At 47.0% G+C, this 15,711-nt stretch overlaps 1 protein-coding gene across 1 annotated transcript in view, besides 2 other annotated features; it reads right to left on the bottom strand.

Annotated features, from left to right (window-relative positions):
* Nucleotides 1-15,711, bottom strand: part of NPFFR1 (neuropeptide FF receptor 1) — a 36,676-nt gene that overhangs the window by 12,204 nt on the left and 8,761 nt on the right. The window contains exons 2-3 of the mRNA NM_022146.5: nt 6,545-6,859; nt 1,108-1,207 (exon numbers count right to left, since the gene is read on the bottom strand). Of these exons, the coding sequence (NP_071429.1) occupies nt 1,108-1,207; nt 6,545-6,859 (415 nt within the window). The remainder of the gene's footprint in view (nt 1-1,107; nt 1,208-6,544; nt 6,860-15,711) is intronic.
* Nucleotides 5,561-5,855: a silencer, noted in NCBI's record as "tiled region #3619; HepG2 Repressive DNase matched - State 12:CtcfO". NCBI's record gives its function as "represses a minimal TATA promoter and a strong SV40 promoter by Sharpr-MPRA in HepG2 cells {active_cell/tissue: HepG2}" and the evidence as "EXISTENCE:reporter gene assay evidence [ECO:0000049][PMID:27701403]".
* Nucleotides 13,603-13,702: an enhancer, noted in NCBI's record as "active region_3499". NCBI's record gives its function as "activates an Ori minimal core promoter by ATAC-STARR-seq in GM12878 lymphoblastoid cells {active_cell/tissue: GM12878}" and the evidence as "EXISTENCE:reporter gene assay evidence [ECO:0000049][PMID:35858748]".

The raw sequence follows: 15,711 nt of genomic DNA on the forward strand, positions 1-15,711 counted from the left end.
ACTTCTCCTGATCACCCAGCTAGTTAGTGGCCTTGTGGAGAGTAGAACCCACTTCATTACTCCAGCTGCCTACTTCACTGAGTTACAAAAAACTGGGCTTGAGGTGGAGAGAGGATGTGAACACTAGATTCCACAAAGGGCAGGGTTAAGATATGCCTGTGCTGGGGAGAGAACAAGGAGGAGGGGATGGGTGTGCAGAAGAAACAACATACTATTAGCAACTGATATTTGGACTCTATGCCAAGAACTGTGCATAAGCTTTTACAAGCAGGAGCTCACTGAAGCCTCCCAACCATCCTGTAGGGTAGCTACCATTTTACAGATGAGACTACAAGGGCTCAGAGTAGTTAGGTGACCCACCCAACATGATACACCAAGGCAGGAGTGAGCAAATCTCCAGCTGATCTGCCTGCCCACCTTTCCCTGGGGTGAAGCACCCAGAGGGTGCCCTTCCCCTGCTAACAATGCTGTGGGGGAGGAGCACTCATGTAGTGCAATATGGAGGCCTCCTGGGTTCAGTGCTTTATTGATTGCAAGCCTCCTTCTCCCTGGCTCTGCTCCATACCTTTGGCCACATGATAGATTTATACTTACCAGGGAATCTGATGGAATATGAGGCTGAGAGACGAGAAGCGGTGAACGTGGGGATTGAGTACAGCCTGGGCTGCCGGGAACCAGCAAGGAGCCAGTGGGGACAGAATAAGGAGCAGGGAGAAACCCTTCCTCCCCAGCCATACCGTGACCCACCCATAAGCTGGCCCCCTTAGCTCTGGCTCACCTGGCTCAGACTTAGAGGTGGCAGGATTCCTGCTGCTCAGGAAATAAGGACTGCTCTTGAGCTCCTCACAGGCCCCAGGAATCCCAACAAAAGCCAACCAAGGCTACCTTCAGGCCTTCCAGAAGGGGGTGGTAGTGTCCTCATCAGGTTCCCCAAGTTTAGGGAGAGGGCAGCTGGGCCCAGGGCCCTTCTCCTTGTGGCTCAGGATTTAGCCCCACTTACCATGGTGCAGCCCCAGCCTTCCAGCCAACCCAGCATTAGAGGCAGTGGCTCCTCTTAATGCCAGGCCCTAGTTGGCTCAGGCATAATCCAGCCAGGAAACCTCTCACCTTTCCACAGCAATGGCCACCAGTGTGAAAACGGAAGCCGACACAGACATGCCCTGCACCAAGCCGCTCATCTTGCATGTGGCATTGTCGAAGGGCCACCCTGCAATGACAGAGGCCCCCACAGAGTGAGAGATGCCCACGCATCAAGAGCCAGAGACTGAAAGCCCTCCAAGCCAGGTCCCCTCTGAGCTTGGATCTTTCCTCCATGACCTGCTAGGTGTTATCTGGTCTCTGCTTGCAGACTTTCAGAAATGAGGAACCAACCAGCCCATAAAACCATGGACAGTTCTCACTACAGTCATCCCCTCGTTTATACAGTGCATTGGTTCTAGGACCCCCAAGTATTCCAAAATCCACACATAATCAAGTCCTGCAGTCAGCCTTGCAGAACCTGTGTATAGAAAAAGGCAGCCCTCTGTATGTACATGGTGATATGGTTTGGCTGTATCCCCACCCAAATCTCATCTTGAATTGTAGCTCCCATAATCCCCACGAGTCATGGGAAGGACCCATGGGAGGTAACTGAATCGTGGGAGTGGTTTCCTCCATGCTATTCTTGTGATGGTGAGTAAGTTCTCATCACGAGATCTGATGGTTTTATATGGGGCTTCTCCCTTCACTCCGTTCTCATTCTTCTCTCTCCTGCTGACTTGTGAAGAAGGATGTGCTTCCCCTTCCACCATGATTGTAAGTTTCCTGAGGCCTTCCCATCCCTGCAGAACTGTGAGTCAAACCTCTTTCCTCTATAAATTACCCAGTCTCAAGTATGTCCTTATAGCAGCATGAGAATGGCCTAATATACACGGGTTTTGCTGTATTTTTAATCTGCATTTAGTTGAAAAAAACCCTCATATAAATGGACCCATGCAGTTCAAACCCATGTTGTTCAAGGGTCAACAGTATTAGTGAGATTTTCTTTATGTTGACCAGTGATTTCTTTCCATGAGCTTTAGACCGTCCAGCCCTGCCTGGCTCTCTGCTCCCATAGCCCTGTCTTGGGTTCTAGGCCAGTGGTTCTCGACACTGGCTGCTCACGAGAATCATCTGGAGAGCTTTGCAAAGAACAAATGCTCAGACCCATGCCAGGCCAGTTACAATCAGAATCTCTAGTGACAGGACCCAGACATCAGTTGTTTTGTTTGTTTTGTTTTGTTTTGTTTGAGATAGGGTCTCGCTCTGTCACTGAGGCTGGAGTACAATGGTGTGATCATGGCTCACTGCAGCCTCAACTTCCTGGCTCAAACCATTCTCCTGCCTCAGCCTCCTGAGCAGCTGGAACCACAGGCATGTGGTTTGCAAAAAGCAAAGTATAAAGACTATCTGTACTATATTACCCTTCATGTGAGAAAAAAGAGATTAAGAAAATATATGGTTATTTTCTCATTGTACCAAAGAAATACAGAAAAGATAAATCAGAATAATGAGATTAGCTATCCATACAGAGAGAAGATAAGAACTGGGTAGAAATAATGGATGAATGGGATAGGTGAGATAATGAGAGTGATGCCTCTCTGAGTATATCTTTGTATGGTTCTGACTTTTTAGAATCATGGCAATGAATCACTTACTCAAGATAAATAATTAACATCTATCAGGATATGGTTGGGGAGGGGGGACCCAAAGTAAAATACAAACATTAACAAATAAGTCTAATTATATTACAAATGAATAATATTGTATTTAAATTGAATAATATTTACACTGAAGGGGTGAAGAAGGAACACACGAACTGGAGTAACTTTGCAAAACAGTATTTTGACTGTATACTATAACAGCAAAAAGAACTGTATACAAATTCTGTACTGTCATTACTAAACTTGTATATTCTTGACAAAACTGAATAAACTGGATTTAATTATGGGAAAATATCAGGCAAACCCAAATCACAGAAGTATGTTAGCAATAATGAAACTACCTTATGTGTATACTAAGATTGAACAAATAAGTAAATATGTTGTAGATAAATACAGCTAGATTTCTCACTGTCTGAAAATGAAGTTACCATTAAGGAAGAGGGTCAAGTTAAAATGAATCTGTGACAGTGGGTTAGAATCAGAGGTATCAGTCTGAACTCATGTTAATACACATACAGATGGACAGATATAGAAATAAAGATATGTGTGTTAAATATTTCTGTTAGTATACGTATATTTCCTAGCTCTGTCCCTTGAGAGCACCTAGAAGAAATGACACCCCAATACCCATGAGCACACCTAGAACCCAGATCTTGGCTTCTAAATACTATTCTCAGCCAGGTGTAGTAATCCCAGCACTTTGGGAGGAAGAAGCAGGAGGATCGCTTGAGCCCAGGAATTCAAGACCAGCCTGGGTAATATAGTGAGACTCTGACTCTACAAAAACAAAAATTAAAAATAAAATTAGCCATACATGGTGGCGCATTTCTGTAGTCCCAGCTACTGGGGAGGCTGAGGTGGGAAGATCTCTTGAGGCCAGGAGTTTGAGGTCACAGTGAGCTATGATCTCACCACCGCACTCCAGCCTTGGTGACAGAGCAAGACCGTGTCTTTTTAAAAAGCAACAACAACAACAACAAAAAAGCCCCTGTGGAACTATACACTTAAAAAGGCAGATTTTAATGTATGTTAAATTATATATTAACAAAAATATTTAAATGTAAAACATGCACACATTCACAGCATATTTTCTTTTTTCACCCAGGCTGGAGTGCAGTGGCGTGATCTCGCTCATTGCAAGCTCTGCCTCCTGGGTTCACGCCATTCTCCTGCCTCACCCTCCCGAGTAGCTGGGACTACAGGCACCCACGACCACGCCCGGCTAATTTTTTGTATTTTTTAGTAGAGATGGGGTTTCACCATTTTAGCCAGGATGGTCTCGATCTCCTGACCTTGTCATCCACCCGCCTTGGCCTCCCAAAGTGCTGGGATTACAGGCATGAGCCACCGCGCCCGGCCATTCACAGCACATTTTCTGAGAATGCATACAAAAGACAGAAATATAACAGAATGGCTGCCTATGGGTCAGAGAAGAGATGTAGAGTGGAATAGGTATATAGAAGGAAACAAATAAACAAAAGAAGAGCTTTGCAACAGAGTGAAATCACATAGTGCCATGAACTGTAAACTGAATGAATGATTCAACCTTCTGTATGTGAGTTAAAAAAAAAACAAAACCAACACAAAACAAAACAAAAAGAAAGAAAGGAAGAAAAAGCTGGGCATGGTGCCTCACTCCTGTAATCCCAGCACTTTGGGAGGCTGAGGCGGGCAGATGGCTTGAACCCAGGAGTTTGAGACAAGCCTGGGTAACATGACAAAACTCCATCTCTACAAAAAATAGAAAAATTAGCCATTGGTGGTGGCACATGCCTGTAGTCCCAGGACCTGGGCCCAGGCAGGTTGAGACTGCAGTAAGCCATGATCGTGCACTGCGCTCCAGCCTGGATGACAGAGTGAGACTGTCTCAAAAAAAAGAGGCCGGTGTGGTGGTTCATGCCTGTAATCCCAGCACTTTGGGAGGCCGAGGCAGGCAGGTCACTTGAGATCAAGAGTTCAAAACCAGACTGGCTAACATGGTGAAACCCCATCTCTACTAAAAATACAAAAATTAGCTGGGTGTGGTGGCAGAAGCCTGTAATCCTAGCCACTCGGGAGGCTGAGGCAGGAGAATCACTTCAACCTGGGAGGCGGAGGTTGCAGTGAGCCGAGATCCCAGCACTGCATTCCAGCCCGGGTGACAGTGAGACTCCAAAAAAAAAAAAAAAAAAAAAAAAGAAAGAAAAAATAGTGAAGCTGTGTGAAGTTTTATTTAATTGCAGAAGATTCTATTAGAAACAACATAAATACAAATCAAAATAAATTGTAGTACATCCATACAATGGAATTCTAAGCAGTTGGTGAAAATAGTGAGAAACTCTTTTATTTATTAATATGGGATAACAACATGTAAGTTTATTTTAATGAATCTTTTTTACAGCATACATGGTATATTTTTAAGTGGGGTGTGGTGGGAAGTAAAAGTACGGGACTGGCTGTTTGGAACCTTAGCATGTCCTCAATTTGCTTGCACTCGCATAAAATAGTGTTTGAAAGAGACACAAGAAACTGGCAACACTGGTTGCCTCCCAGGAGGGAGAAGAGCTGGGAGGCCAGAGGACAGGGGCGGAAGGGAGATTTTTCACTGGAGAATTTTGGTAGTTTTTGACTATTGAATCATCTGAATGTTTTATGTATTCAAACAATATTTTAAATATGAGTGTATGAAAAAGATGGGGAGACGCCACCTTAACCAGCTAGTGACCTCATTATATCACTGTTGACTGGTATGCATGTATTTATGTGTATGCATGTGTGCATCTCTGCACATGTGTGCCTGAGTACACGTGTGTGTGTCTATGTGTTGGAAAGGAGAGGAATGCAGTTTATGTTCAGCATTGGCAAAGGAAGCTGGGACTCAGCAGTGGGTAACGGTTCCACCAGACAGAGCTGGTACTGTGGAGGGGAGCTGACTCTGCACTGGCTCCACATCCTGGGTCCTAGAACCTACAGAAACGTGGGCTGTGGCTCCCTCTGCCCCGAGTCAGTGAAGTCACTCTGAATAGGGCTGTCCAGGCTCTGGATCCTGAGGACCAGTGAGCTGCTGGGAGCTCTGAGCTCAGAATCTGCAGGCTCAGACCTCTAGGGGTCTCCATATCTCTGAAAACCAGTCCCTCACCTGGAGTCTCAGGTTGGTGGAAACTTGATTCTAAAACAAGAAAGGCCAGTCGCATGAGAGAGTAGAGAGTAGATGGCACTGTTCTGACATCTGCAGGATGCACCGGCAGGAATTTAGAGGTCAAGTGGTCCACTGAGTGGCCGGCCAGTCCCTGCTTAGACACTCCAAGGGACAGAGAGCTCATTACTTACAGGCAGGACTCTCTTCTGTGCCCTGCTCAATTTCCAGCTCAAATGAGTGGAGTTTTCGTTCCCGATTCAGAGGAAACCTGCCTCCCTTCCACTTCTCCCCACTGGCTCTAATTCTGCCCATGCGAGCTCCGTGAGAGAGTGGGACTGAATGGTATAATACAATAATTAGAAGTATGGGTGTGAGAATGTTGACCTTGACACCTATTAGCTGTGTAACTACAGACCAGTTTCTTAACCACTCCGAGCATGTTTCCTCTTCCATAAAATGGGGAGGACCATAAACTCTACTTCACTGGATTGTTGTGAGGATGAATTAAGATAATGCATGAGAAGTAACATCATGCCAGGCACAAAGAAAACAGGAAATTCATTAAATCTCTTATTTCTAGTCTAACTCTTCAGCCCCAAGACTGTCTTGAGAGTTCGAGACCACGGCATGGCCAAGAGGCCAGCCCAGCAATGATATCTGTCTTCTAAGCTTTGATTTCCAGCCTTATCTGAGAAGTTGAAGTGGGGGGTAGGGGACACTCCTGCTGCCAACTGCCCGCACTCACCAGTGATGAGGTTGTCCACAAGGGTGGTGGGCATGCAGAAGATGCCCACCAGCAGGTCACTGACAGCCAGGTTGAGGATGAACATGTTGGTGACAGTATGCATGTGCCGGTTCTTGAGCACGATGAAACAGACCAGGGTGTTGCCCACCATGCAGAGCAGGAAGATGAGCGCATAGGCCACAATGAACATGGCCGCCACAGGGGAGGTGTGCTGATAGTAGGAGGAGAAGGTGAGGTTTGTAGCCGGGGTGGCCTCAGTGTTAGTCCCATTCTGACTTAGGGGCCAACTGCTGTTGGGAGGCTGGGAGGGCTCCCCTAGGACCAAAGGAATATATTGGTCAGGACCTTAGGCAAAGAAGAGATTACCGATTTCTCACCACTAATGAGACCCTCTGTGTGCCAAACCTTAACCATGCCCTGGTCCCCCAAGCATGTCCCCAGCTCCAGTTGCAACTTGATGCACTGATCCAAGACTTTCAGCCTACAACCACTCAAACCCTGGTCTTGTACTTCATGCCCTGTCTTGCCCATAACTCATTCTCCAATGTTGGTTTTTCTTTATTAACTCCCCCATCCCATTTAGGTTCCAACTTTCTTGGCCCTCCTGTGTGCCCCAGAGGCTAACCTCTAAGTTCTGCATTGCCCTGGTTCCCTTGTCTTCTGGCTTCTAGCTGGGTTCAGCCAATGCCAGGCCCTGAAGGAGATGGGAGGGCAGGAGCAGAGAGAGAGGTCAGGGTGTTTGTCTTCTGATTCCCTTCCTGCCTGGCCCAATTCTTTCAGCAGCTGTTTTTCCCTATAGCCACAGCCTGCTCCTATTGGGTGAGTCCCCTTTCATGGCTCTAGCCCTCACCTGACTACAGTAACACTCTTCCCTCTCCTTGCACTCAATGGTAACAGCTTCCTGTGGTTGTGAGTCCCTGGGTGCTTCACCGTTTCTGGCTGGTTCTCTTAACCCTCTCTTCTTCCATTAAACTCTGTTCAGTTAAACCCTTTCTGAGTGCACCATTTGTTTTCTGCTGGGACCCAATTATTATACCCTCAAACTCTTTGATGTCGTTCCCCTTCATCTCCTCCATGGAACTTTAGTTGAGAAAGGCAAGAAGGCAGTAGAGAAAGGGAGAATGAAGGGGAACTGTGAACCAGGGCTAAGGAGAAGAGGCACATCACATTCAGCAGAACATCCAAAGCAGGGGCTCCTGCTCAACCTTTGCCTCCTCCCATCCCATGATCAGCTGTTCTGCCTGCATAGCATTTAACATAACACTTCCACATCTATTATTTTATTTAGCTCTCCGAGCCATCCCATGATGTAAGTCATTAGGTATTAGCCTCATTTGTTTTCTTTTGTATTTTTTTTAAACCCTCATTGAATTACCCTAAGGTGTTAGCTTCATTTGAAATGGAGGTCAGAAAGGTTCCATGACTTGCTCAAGGTCCTCCAATGATGCTGCAGCACAGCTGGCCCTGCTCTGTGTGTCTGTGAATTAGGACCAGGCTTTGGTGTGTGTTTCCCCAGGCTTGCTTCGAAGGGAAGGCTCAGTGTCCAACCACAGCTCTTCTGGGAAGTCATTAGTTGGGGTGACTCATGATGTTGTGTCATAAACTTTCCTCCTGAGGCCTATTCCAGGGGATGAAGAGTCCCTGTGGAATCTTTCTGTCACACCGAGAACTCAGCCACTGGCCTGGAGGCTCAATGGAGGCTGGGGGCCTGGAGGTTAGAGACCCTCAGAGGAGCAGGGCCAGCGAGCTGGCATCATCAGGGCTGCAGGGACCAGCAGGGGGCACTGCGGTGAGTGTTGGGATGGGGCAGAGGGACTGCGGCGGGAGGCGGACAACCTGCAAACTTCCTGTGCCCGATGAGAGATGATACTCCCAGGTTTAGGCCTTCCAAGGACTTCCAACTGTACTCAAACATCTTTATTTTAATATGGTAAATGTCAAACATGTAGAAGAGAGAATATTGTAATAAACATATACAAGAGTATAAAGTTTAATGAGCTGTTATTAGAGGGATCATATAAAGAACCCCCATGTATACATCATCTGCTTTCAACAGTTATCAACTCGAGGCCTGGAGTTGTTTCATCCATATCCCCACTTCTCTTTGGATTATTTTGAAGTAAATACCAGACATTACTTCCTTTCATCCATAAATGTTTCAGTTTGTACCTTTAAAAAATAAGGACTCAAAAAAACAACATGAAAAAATGTGGTTTCCATCATTATCAAACCTAACAAAATTAACAATTATGTAATTATATCATTAAATAGCCAGCATCCAGCAAAATTTCCTGATTGTTTCATAATTTTTTAAATAGTTGGTTTGTTTGAGTGTGGATCGGAGCAAGATTTCTGTTTCTATTACCTATTATTATGTTGTGAACCACCCCAAAATTTAATGGTACAGCACTGTGGCTTGGCAATCTGAGTAGTTCTTCTCCTGGTCTCTCTTGGGACTCTCGTGCAGCTGCTGTAGTTATCTGCTGGCTCAGCTGGGGCTGGGAGGTCCAAGGTGTCCCTCACATGGCTGGTGATTAGTGCTGGCCATTGGCTGGGATGTCTCAGTTCTCCACTCAGCCTCTCATCCTCCAGGAAGCTAGTGTGGGCTTCTTCAGAGAACAGTGGTCTCAGGGTTCCAAGAGAGCAAGAAAAGAAGCTACAACTTCTTAAGTCCGAGACTCTGGAATTTTCACATCACGTCTGTCACATTTTATTGGCCCAAGTAAGTCACAAGGGATGCCCAGGTTCAAGTCAGTGGATAAATAGTTTCTCCTGTTGATAGGAAGAAAAGCAATATAGCATTGCAGAAGAGGTGTGGACATGGAAGTGTGATTCATTAAGGTCCATTATGATAAAGTCTACCACCATCCCCATATTGCATTTGGTAGACGTGATGCTGAAGTCTCTTTTAGTTCACAGGTCCCCAGTCTGTCTCTTTTCCCTTCTGCAGTATGTTTGTCATATGGACTGAGTGGTTGGTCTGTAGCACTTCTGCAGGCTGGATTTTTCTGATTGCTCCCTCATGATGTCATTTTACATGTTCTGCTCTCTGTTCCCTGTATTACCTGTACTTGGCAGTCAGATCTAGAGTCTTGATCAGATTTTGTCCAGTGGCCTTTCTCTTTGTGGTGCTGGCTCAATCAGGGGGCTCAGGTGATGTACCTCTGCCTCCTGGGCTCAAGCAATCCTCCCGCCTCGGCCTCCTGAGTAGCCGGGACTACAGCCGTGCGCCACCAAGCTGGGTTAATTTAAGGTTATTTTGTAGAGATGAGGTCTCACTACGTTGCCCAGGCTGGTCTTGAACTCTTAAGCTCAAGCAATCCTCCTGTCTTGGCCTCCCAAAGTGCTGAGATTACAGGCATGAGCCACTGTGCCATCAGCTTTTAACATAATATTTTCAGCAGACACTAAGGATTATTGCCTAGACTCCCCACTGCATTTTTTTTTTTTTTGAGACGGAGTCTTGATCTGTTGCCCAGACTGGAGTGCAATGGCTTCGATCTTGGCTCACTGCAACCTCTGCCTCCTGGGTTCAAGTGATTCTCCTGCCGTAGCCTCCTGAGTAGCTGGGATTACAGGTGCATGCCACCACACCCAGCTAATTTTGTATTTTTAATAGAGACAGTGTTTCACCATGTTGGCCAGGCTAGTCTCAAACTCCTGACCACAGGTGATCCACCTGCCTCAGCCTCCCAACCCTCATTGCATTTTAAATACAATCCACGCTCCTTACCAAGGCCTCCAAAACACTTCATGGTCTGATCCCTGTTGACATCTCTCTGACCTCACCCAGTGCCACTCTCCCCTTTGCCCATTATGCTCTGGTCACTTTGCCATCTGCTTAGCTCCTCACGCACTCCTGCTTCTTCCAACCCCAGGGCCTTTGCTCGTCCCTTCCTTTAGCTCTCAGCATAAATGTTGTCTTCCCATAGCATCTGGTTTATGTTCATCAATCTGTCAATAGTTTGTGTGTTTCTAGGTTGATTGTCTTTTTCCCCATGCTTGACAGCACCTGCAAAGCAAGGATCTTCCCTGTCTTGTTGGTGGCAGTGTCCTCAGCATCTTGTCAGTGCCTGCCCAAAGTAAATGGTTCAATAAACAGCTAATAATTATGGAATAAATAAATATCTGTAGGAAGGAAAAAAAGAAAGGAAGGTGGATCCTTATATCAGGTGAGAGGGTCCTGCTGCAGGCAGGCAGTGCTGATGTTGGAAGGCCTTCTCCAGGCCCCTCCAGAAAGAACCCCCATGAGAGGCATCACTCATCCCAGCACCTGTTGGGAGACTTGCTTACCCCTGCCGAGCCTCAAAATTAGCTCTGAATCATCTCCCATGACTGGGGGGATCTGTGGGTATGGATGGGCAGAGGAAACTGCCAGAACCTTTCAGGCTAGACTCCAGTCCATTTCCCCCACTATCCTTCACTTGGCCCTCAAGTAAGCTCATCTTCCGAAGTCTGTCCTGAGAAGTATCTGGGAGTGACCCTGCCCATTGCTAGAGCCTCAGCAGAGCCTGGGCATCATTTCTAGACAGGGCCCAGATTCCAGCACTGCACATGAATCCTTTCTGGAGGAGGAAAAACTCCTTCCCATTCCTGGCAATTCCACTGGACTGGAGGCAGGCAGGCCTCCCACCCCATCTGGGCTGCATGCTAGCAGCCAGAGACCTCATTGACACCTTGGATTTGTCCTTCCTGGGATCTGCCAGGTGCCCTTGTAATTACAGCCTGTGAAATTTTCATCCTTGAACCCGGTGAAGCCATTCCTCTACTGGAGGAGCTTCCCCATCTCAGGGTGTAATAATGGTTGTCTCCAGGGTACCCAAGAGAGATCAGGGTGTATAGTTCTCAAAGAGGGGTCCCGACCAGCAGTGTCAGCATCACCTGGAACTCATTGGAAACAGAAATTCTTGGGCCACAACCCTGGCCTTGGGAACCAGAAACCCTTGGGACTGGGGCCTAGCTATCTCTGTTTTACATTTTGAAGCATCCTTCAGATGATTCCAACGCACACTGTGGTTTGAGAACCACAGAATTAAAAGCCTTGAACTAAAGACACCTCGAGTGGATACACACAGTCTGGGAAGTCCCAGCCCTTCTTCCTGCCTCCTTACCTCTGTGCAAACTCAGCATTCTCATATTTAAAATAGAAACAGAGGCCAGGTGCCATGGCTCACCCCTGTAGTCACAGTACTTTGGGAGGCCAAGGTGGGAGGATCACTTGAGCTCAGGGGTTTGAGACCAGCCTGAGCAACAGAGTGAAACCCTGTTTCTACAAAAAATTAAAAAATTAGCCAGATGTGGTGGTGCGTGCCTGTAGTCCCAGCTACTCTGGAGGTTGAGGTGGGAGGATCGCTTGAGCCTGAGAAGTCAAGGCTGCAGTGAGCTATGATTACACCACTGCACTCTAGCCTGGCTGACAGATCAAGACTCTTTCTCAAATAAAAAATAAAAAATAATTAAAAAATAGAAAATAAAACAGAAAAACAGACATTTTCTGGGTGTGACCTAGGGTAGGTCATGTCATCTCCCTGGAAGCCAGACTCCTTATTGGTAAAATGGAGATAAATGAACACCTGCCAAAGAAGGGCTGTGCTGAGGCTTCGATGAGACGACATGTGAGAACTAAGAGCACATCGTACACATGGCACTCTGTGTGAGGCAGCAGCAGCGGGGCTGATAGTTCTGAGCCACACAATGGATGTGAGCATAATTTTTTATAATACAAACTGAAAGAAGTGCGAATGAGAAAAAAATCCCTGGCAGGGCGCGGTGGCTCACACCTGTAATCCCAGCACTTTGGGAGGCCAAAGCAAGCAGATCACCTGAGGTCAGGAGTTCAAGACCAGCCTGATCAACATGATGAAACCCCATCTCTACTAAAAATACAAAAATTAGCCAGGCGTGGTGGTGGGCCCCTGTAGTCCCAACTACTCAGGAGGCTGAGGCAGGAGAGTCGCCTGAACCCAGGAGGTGGAGGTTGCAATGAGCTGAGATCGTGCCACCGCATGCCAGCCTGGGCGACAGAGCGAGACTCTGCCTCAAAAAAGAGAAAGAAAGAAATAAAGAGAAAGGGAGAGAGAGAGAGAGAAAGAAAGAAAGAAGGGAGGGAGGGAGGAAAGAAAGAAAGAAAGAAAGGAAAGAAAGAAAGAAAGAAAGAAAGAAAGAAAGAAGAAAGAAGAAAGAAAATAATAGAAAGAAAACAATCCCTAAATGAATGAGCTTAACCCAGAATCAGTCTGGGTGTTTCCCTGAGTTCACAGGCCTCCCACTGATGGCTTCATCCTTGTTACCATTTGCTTGCTGATCCTGGGAACACGTGGGTGCCCCACCTCTTCCTGAGAGGCTGCCAGTGAACCCAGGCCTGGATGCAGAGACGCTGGACCCGCTGAAGAACACAACACAGGGCTGCCGAGTACATGCAGCATGAACAGGACTGATGGCTGTTAACTACACGAAACAAAAAGTTCAAGTTCATTTGTAATCTAAGCAATGCAATTTTGCTTTGATTGTTGGGTTAACCTTTTCATCAAACAGATTTTTGCTTGGATTGTTCGGTTAAACTTTTCGTCAAACAGATCGGCAATGACTGAATTATTCAATAAGGGCCAGAGCATGGATGTGCCCTGTAGGGAGGGGTGCAGGGTGAGGGGACAACAAATCAGCTCTTCGCAGTCGAGGCACATCTGTCCAGAGCCCTAGTGAGGGACCCGCCCCCAGATCCAGCCATTCCAGTTCTCACGGTTTACCCTAAGGAACAGAGTGAGGTCTCAGGATGAGAGGGAAAGTATTGACCATGGGACATGGTAATGGTTACAAAATAGTATGTACATGCATTATAAGTCTGTACTCTGTATAAAAAGTGTGCGTTTATGTGAACTGTAGGTGAACAGAAAAAATAACAATGTTTGTCCACAAGGGGTGGTGTTTCCTCAAGTGATTTTTATTTTCGGTTTTTCTAGCTTGCATTTAACCTTTCTAATCAGAAGGAAACTGATACGTGTGATAAAATACTGATGATGTCACTGGTTCTTGGCCCTGACTCATATCAAAATCACCTGGCTTTTAACAATACAGCTCCTGCCCCTTCCAACTGGATCAGAATCTCTACAGGGTGGTAGGGAAGGATGGATGATGGGCAGGGGATGGGGTTGTTCAGGCACTGGTATTTTTCAAAAAACTCCCCTGGTGATTTCCATGTGTAGCCGGATTTGAGAACCACTGAACCATACAGCCCCTGCCCTCCCGCCACTCACAGTCAAGTTTAGTGTGGCTTAACATTTTGGGGGTCATCAAATTCTTTAAGACTCTGATGCATTTTGGTTCCTTCACAGATGCTTTCCTAGGGCTTCCTTTTGTTATGCCAATCAATGGTTCCTGTCTGGAGGAATTTATGGTCTCCAAAAGCATTGGATCCGCTCCCAAAAAGAGCCCTGGATTTTGGCACACACTTTCAAGGCAGTGTTGGGCATCAGGTTTTGGGCTCACCCTGCATCCATGAGCCCTTCTTTCTCGAGTACTGATTTTTCCCCTGGGGAGTCAGCCTCCTCCTCACATGGAGCTTTTGAGGGACCGTCCATCAGGTGTCTGCACCAACCGCTGGCCAGAGGATGCCAATCAGACCTCTTCTGCTTTGGATTTGCCTCTGAGTCTTCATAACACAGCTTTTCCTTCCATTGGATGACCTCCCCACACCCTTCCAATGGATTCCCAGTGTTGGTTAGGTTGGCCAGCACTCGTTTCTGTTGCTTATAACCCTAGTGTCTTGGTGAATACAAGGGGATTCAAGTTAGTCATCCATGGACCTCCTGGGAGTCTGCAGAGTCCAGGTTCAGAATCCCAGGGTCAGAGAAAGTGTTAGAGATGGGCAGGGGTAGCACCATAGACCCCCAAGTTTCCTGTTCCCTAGATTAGATGTTTGTGCCCACCTCCCTCCCCAACACCATCCCACACGCTGTCTCTTAACAGGCCATGTAATCTTCCACGGAGACTGTGCTAATGCAGAGAGGAAAGGACACTGACCTGGGAATCAGAAAGCGTGGCCTTGAGAGCTGGCCCCATGGTGGTCACTGACTGCATATAACAGAGGTTGGGGGCTGGGCACAGTGGCTCATACCTATAATCCCAGCACTTTGGGAGATGGAAGGAGGCAGATCACAAGGTCAGGAGTTCGAGACCAGCCCGGCCAACATGGTGAAACCCTGTCTCTACTAAAAATACAAAAAATTAGCCGGGCGTGGTGGCACATGCCTGTAATCCCAGCCACTTGGGAGGCTGAGGCAGGAGAATTGCTTGAACCCGGGAGGTGGAGGTTGCAATGAGCTGAGATCGCACCACAGCACTCCAGCCTGGGCAACAGAGCGAGACTCCATCTTGAAAATAAAAAAGAGAGAGAGAGAGAGGTTGGGGGCTGGGAAACTTGGTTTGGAGGAGAAGCTTGGGAACTTGTCTTAGAGCTGCTTTAGTACAATTTTTAAAGGGAGGTATAGTTAGTTTGGGGTGGCTGGGAGACTGATGATAGTAGACCCTAAGCCCCCATGCCACCTCTTGGTATTCCAAAGAGAACTGGGGAGATCTACTTCATCCCTGTGTTCTCCTTGGCTTTCGAATGTGGATGACCTGGGCTTCCTGCCTCTCCCAACCTCATGGAGTTGTTAATACATTCAGAGAGACAGCAGAGTAAATTACAAAGGGCCTTGCAGAACTTCAGACTGCTTATTGACTGCATTAGCTATCTGCCAGGCAGCTGTGGGGAACCAGTAGGTCGCAGTGTGGTTTCAGTTCATTTGGGTTTGTTCCCAGGGAAGCAAGCCTTGGCAAAAGCTTTCTTAGTACTGCTTAGGAAAGTAAAAAGTGGATGTGGCAGAGGATCTAGGAGGAAGGAGGCCTCTTGAGAACTATAACCTCCTACTGTTCCTCTTGCAGGCTGAACCAAAGCCCCTCCATCCCAGGCACCCACCACAGCAACATGGATTCTGCAAGCCTGACCTCTTTTTGGTGAATGAGAGCAGGTTGCCCTTCCAAGAATCATTTGGATTGGCAAAGGCCAAAGAATTTGAGGGCTGAGTTGCTAATACAGCCATCAGGAGCCCCCAAGCGAGCCCCTCTTTATACTTCTCTTCTACTCTGAGGCCTTTTTATTTCTCCTTACTTCCTGCAGGAGGTCTCCG

This window comes from Homo sapiens, chromosome 10 (genome assembly GCF_000001405.40).
Source record: "Homo sapiens chromosome 10, GRCh38.p14 Primary Assembly".
In the NCBI taxonomy this organism is placed as follows: Eukaryota; Metazoa; Chordata; class Mammalia; order Primates; family Hominidae; genus Homo; species Homo sapiens.